Here is a 5,942-nt window from a genome sequence, read left to right on the forward strand (position 1 = left end):
AATGGAATGGAGTGCACTGGAATAGAATGGACTGGAACGGAATGGACTCTAATGGAATAGAATGGAATGGAATGGAATGGAATGTAGTGGAAAGCACTCGATTGGAATTGAGTCAAAAAGGTTGGAATCAAATGGAATGGAGTCGGATGGTATTGAATGGAATGGAATGACATATGATGCAATGCAGTGTAATGAAATGGAATGCAATGGAATGGAATGGAATGGAAATGAATAGACCAAAATGTAATGGACTCGAAAGGAATGGACTCAAAGAGAATGGACCTGAAAAGAATGATATCAAATTGAATTTGTTCGAATAGAATCGAATCGAATGGAATGCAATAGCATGGAATGGAATCGAATGGAATAGAATGGAATGGAGTGGACTGGAATAGAACAGACTCGAATATAATGGATTGCAATGTAACTGTTTCGAATGAAAAGGAAGCAAAAGGAATGTAATCAAAAGGGATGGAATGGAATACTATGGAATGGAGGAGAATGGAATTCAAAGGAAAGGAATGGAGTAGAATAGAGTGGAATGGAATCGACAGAAATGGAATGGAATGGAATGGAATCGAATGGAATGGACTACGGTAGAATGAACCCGAATGCATTGGTCTGAAACAAAATGGTATCGAACGGATTGGAATTGATTGGAACAGAATGGAATGGAATAGAATGCAATGGAAAGGAATAGAATGAAATGGAAACGGGTGGAATGGAATGGAATTGAATAGAGTTCAGTGGAATAGAATTGAATGGAATGTCATAGAAAGGAATGGAATGGAATGGAAGGTAATGTTATGGACTCAAAAGGAATTGATTCGAATGGAATAGAATGGCAAGGAATAGTATTGAATTGAATGGAATGGAATGGACCCAAATGTAATTGATTCGAATGAAATAGACTCAAATAGAATGGACTCAAAAGAATGGTCACACTTGGAATATATTCAAATGGAATGGAATTGAATGGACAGCAATAGTATGGAATTGAATCGAATGGAATGGAATCAAATGGAATAGACCGGAATAGAATGGACACGAATATTATGGATTGCAATTTAATTGATTTGATTGAAATGGATTCAAATGGAATGGAATGGTATGCAATATTATGGAATAGAATGGAAGGTAATAACATGGAATGGAGTGGAATTGAGTGGAATGGAATCTAGTGGAATGGAATCGAATGGAATATAATCAAATGGAATGAACCGGAATGAAACGGACACGAATGGACTGGATTGGAAAAAAAATGGATTCGAACACACTGGATTCGAATGGAACGGAATAGAATGGAATGGAATGGTATGGAATCGAATGGAGTGGAGTCAAATGGAATGTAACCGAATAGAATGGATTCGAAAAAATAGAATTCAATGGATTCGAAAGGAATAGAATGGAATGGAGTGCAATGGAAAAATATCGAATTTAATGGAATGGAATGGAAGGGAATCAAAAGGAATGGAGTCCAATGGAATGGAGTCAAATGGAATGGAATCGAATGTAATGAAAATGAATAGAATCGAAAGGAATAGAATGGAATGGGGTGTGAAGGAATGATATCGAATGTAAAGGAATGGAATGGGATGGACTCGAATGGAATGGGTTGCAATATAATGGACTTGAATGGAATGGAAAAGAATGGAATGGAAATGAATACAAAGGGATGGAATCGGATGGACCAGAATGGAATGGAATGGAGTCGAATGGAATAGAATTGAATTGAAGTTCTTTGAATTGAATAGAGTGAAATGGAATGGAAAGTACTTGAAAGGAAAGGACTTCAATGGAACAGAATCGAATGGAATGGCATCGAATGGAAAGGAATGGAATGGAATGGAAACAAATGTAAAGGACTCGAATGCAATGGACTCAAATAGAATGGACTCGAAAGAAATGCAATCTAATGTTATTTATTCAAAAAGAATGGAATCCAATGGAATGCAATAGAATGGAATGGAATCAAATGGAATGGACTGGAATGAAATGGACTGGAATAGAATGCACTCGAATGAAATGGATTGCAATGAAATGGATTTGAATGGAATGTAATCGAAAGGAATAAAAAAATGGAATGGAAACGAAATCAGTGGAATGGTATAAAAAGTAATCCAATGGAAAGGAACGGATTGGAATCGCATGGAATGGAATCGAATGGAAAGGGATCAAAAGGAATGGAATCAAATGGAATGGACTCTAATGGAAGGGACTCGAATGGAATGGAGTGGAACAAAATGGAATCGATTGGATAGGAATCAAACGGAACAAAATGGAATGGAATGAAATGGACTCGAATGGAATGGAGTCGAATGGAATGGAATCAAATGGAATGGAATTGAATGGAATTGAAAGGAATAGAATGGAATGGAGTGTAATGGAAAGATTTCAAATGTAATGTAATGGAATTGAATGGACTCGAGAAGAATGGACTGGAATGGAATGGAAAGAGTAGAATGGAATGGAATCGGATGGAAAGGAATGGAATGGAATGAAGTCGAATGGAATAGAATCAAATATATTGGCATCGAATGGAATGGAATGGAATGGAATGGAATGGAATGGAATCGAATTGAAAGGAATGGACTTGAATGACAGAATCTAATGGAATGGTATCGAATGGAATTGATTGGAATGGAATGTAATCGAAAGCAATGGTATGGAATTTACCCAAAATTTATGGACTCGAATGGAAAAGACTCAAATAGAATGTACTCGAAATGAATGGTCTCCAATGGAATTTATTCGAAAAGAATGGAATATAATAGACTGCAATAGATTGGAATGGAATTAAATAGAATGGACCGGAATGGAATGGGCTGAAATAGAATTTACATGAATGTAATGGATTACAACGCAATTGATTTGAATGGAATGAAATCGAGTGCAATGTAATCAAAAGGAATTGAATGATATGCAATGGAATACATAACAATGGAATGCAATGGAATGGAACGAAGTGGAATAGACTGGAATGGAATCGAATCAAATGGAATCGAATGGAATGGAAACGCAGGGAATGGACTTGTTTGGAATGGACTCGAATGGAATGGACTGGAACAAAATGGAACCGAACGGATTGGAGTCTAATGGAACGGAGTGGAATGGAATGGAATGGGAAGGAATGGACTCCAATGGAATGGAGTCGACTGGAATGGAATCGAATGGAATGGAAAGGAATGGATTAAAATTTAATGGAATCGAAAGGAATACAATGGAATGGAGTGTAATGGAAAGATATCACATGGAACGGAATGGAATGGAATGGACTACAATGCAATGGACTGGAATGGAATGGTCTCGAAAGGAAATGAAACGAGTGGAATGGAATGGAAAGGATTAGAATGGAATGTAATGGAATCAGATGGAACATAATAGAATGGAATGGAGTCAAATGGCATAGAATCGAAAGGAATGACATCGAATGAAATTGAATGGAATGGAATGAAATGGACTTAAATGGAATACAATCAAATGGAAAAGCGTTGAATGGGATGGAAAGGAATGGAATGGAATGGAAAGGAATGTTCCCAAATGTAATGGTCTCGAATGAAATGGACTCATATAGAATGGACTCAAAAAGAATGGTCCCAATGGAATTTACTCGAATACAATGGAATCGAAAGTAATGCAATAGTTTCTAAAGTAATTGAATGGGATGGAATCGAATTGACTTGACCGGAAAGTTAAGGAGTGGAATAGAACGGAGTTGAAATTAATGGAAGGAAATGTAATTAAATTGAGTGCGTTGGAATTGAAAGGAATGTAATCAAGTGGAATGGAATGGAACGCAATGGAATGGAATGCATTGGAATGGAATAGAATGGAATGCAAAGGAATGGAACGGAATAGAATCAACTGGAATGGAATCGAATGGAATAGAATCATAAGGAATGGACTGGAATGGAAGGGACAAAAATGGAATGGACTGGAAAAAAATGGAATCAAATGGAATGGAATGGAATGGGCCCATATGTAATGGACACGAATGGAATGGAATCAAATGGAAGGGACTCAAAAGGAATGCTCTCGAATGGAATTTATTTGAATAGAATGGAATGAAATAGAACGCAATAGTATGCAATGGAATCTAATTGAATGGAATGGACTGGTATTGAACTTACTCGAATGTAATGTATTGCAATGAAATTGATTCGAATGATATGGAATGGAACGGAATGGCATTAAATGGAAATTAATGGAATACAATGGAAAGGAATTGAATGGAATGCAAGGGATTGGAAATCAGTGTAATCAAGTGGAATGGAATCGAATGGAATGGAATCGAATGGAATGAAATAAAATGGAATGAAATTGAATGGAATGAAATTGAATGGAATTGAAAGGAGTAGAACAGGAAGGAGTGCAATGGAATGATACCGAATGAAATGGAATGGATTGGACTCCAATGGAATGGAATGGAATGCAATGGAGTCGAATGGAATGGACTGGAGAGGAATGGACTTGAATGAAAAGGAAACGAATGGATTGCAATGGAATGGAATGCAATGGAATGTAAAGGAATAGAAAGTAATGGAATTGGATAGAACTGAATGGAATGGAATGGAGTCGAATGGAATTCAATCCAATGGAATGGCATTGAATGGAATGAAATGGAATGGACTCAATTGGAATGGAAACAAATGGAATAAAACCAAATGGAATGGCATTGAATGGAATTGAATGGAATGGAATGGTTTGGAATTGGAAAGATTGGAATAGAAAGGAATATAGTCAAATGGAATAGAATCGAATGGAATGGCATCGAATGGAATGGAATCAAATGGAATGGAGTCAAATGGAATAGAATGGAATGGAATGGCATGGAATGGAATGAAATGAAATGGAATGGAATGGAGTGAAATGGAATAGACCTAAATATAATGGACTCGAATGGAATGGAGAAATAAAATGGACTCGAAACGAAAGGCCTGGAATGGAATATATTCGAATAGAATAGTATTGAATGAAAAGCAATAGTATGGAATGGAATAGAATGGAACGGAATTAAATGGAATGGACTGGAACGGAATGGACTGGAATAGAATGGACTCGCATGAAATGGACTGCAATGTAATTGATTCGAATGGAATGGAATCGAACGGAAAATAATCAAATGGAATGGAATAGAATGCAATGGAATGGAATAGAATTGAATGCAATGGAATGAAACGGAATGTAATTGAATTGAATGGTATCGAATGGAATGCAATTGAATGGAATGGAATCGATTGGAATGGTCTCGAATGGAACGGACTGGAACAAAATGGAATCAAACGGATTGGAATCGAATGGCATGGAAGGGAATGGAAGGGAATGTACTCTAATGGAAAGCAGTTGAATGGAATGGAACTGTATGAATGGAATTGAATGGAATCGAAAGGAATAGAATAAAGAGGAGTGTAATTAAAGATATCCAGTGGAATTGAATGGAATAGAGTGGATTTGAATGGACTGAAATCGAATGGAAAGGACTGGAATTGAATCAAATCGAATGGAATGGACTGGAAAAAAATGGAATCGTACGGATTGGAAACAAACGGAAAGGAATGGAATGGAATGGACTCGAATGGAATGGAGTCGAATGGATTGGAATTGAATGGAATGGAATTGAATGGAAAGGAATTGAATGCAATTGAAAGGAATAGAATGGAATGGAGTGTAATGGAAAGATATCGAAAGGAAGGGAATGGAATGGATTGAACACGAATGGAATGGAACTGAACGGAATGGAATCGAATAGAATGGAATCGAAGGGAATAGAATGGAATGGAGTGTAAAGGAAAGAGATCGAATGGAATTGAATGGTTTCGAACGGAGTTTATTCAAATGTAATGGAATGGATGTAATGGAATCGAATTCATTGGAATTGAATAGAATTGAAAGCAATAGAATGGAATGGAGTGGAATGGAAAGACATAGAATAGAAAGGAATG

The sequence above is a fragment of the Homo sapiens genome, chromosome Y (assembly GCF_000001405.40).
Source record: "Homo sapiens chromosome Y, GRCh38.p14 Primary Assembly".
In the NCBI taxonomy this organism is placed as follows: Eukaryota; Metazoa; Chordata; class Mammalia; order Primates; family Hominidae; genus Homo; species Homo sapiens.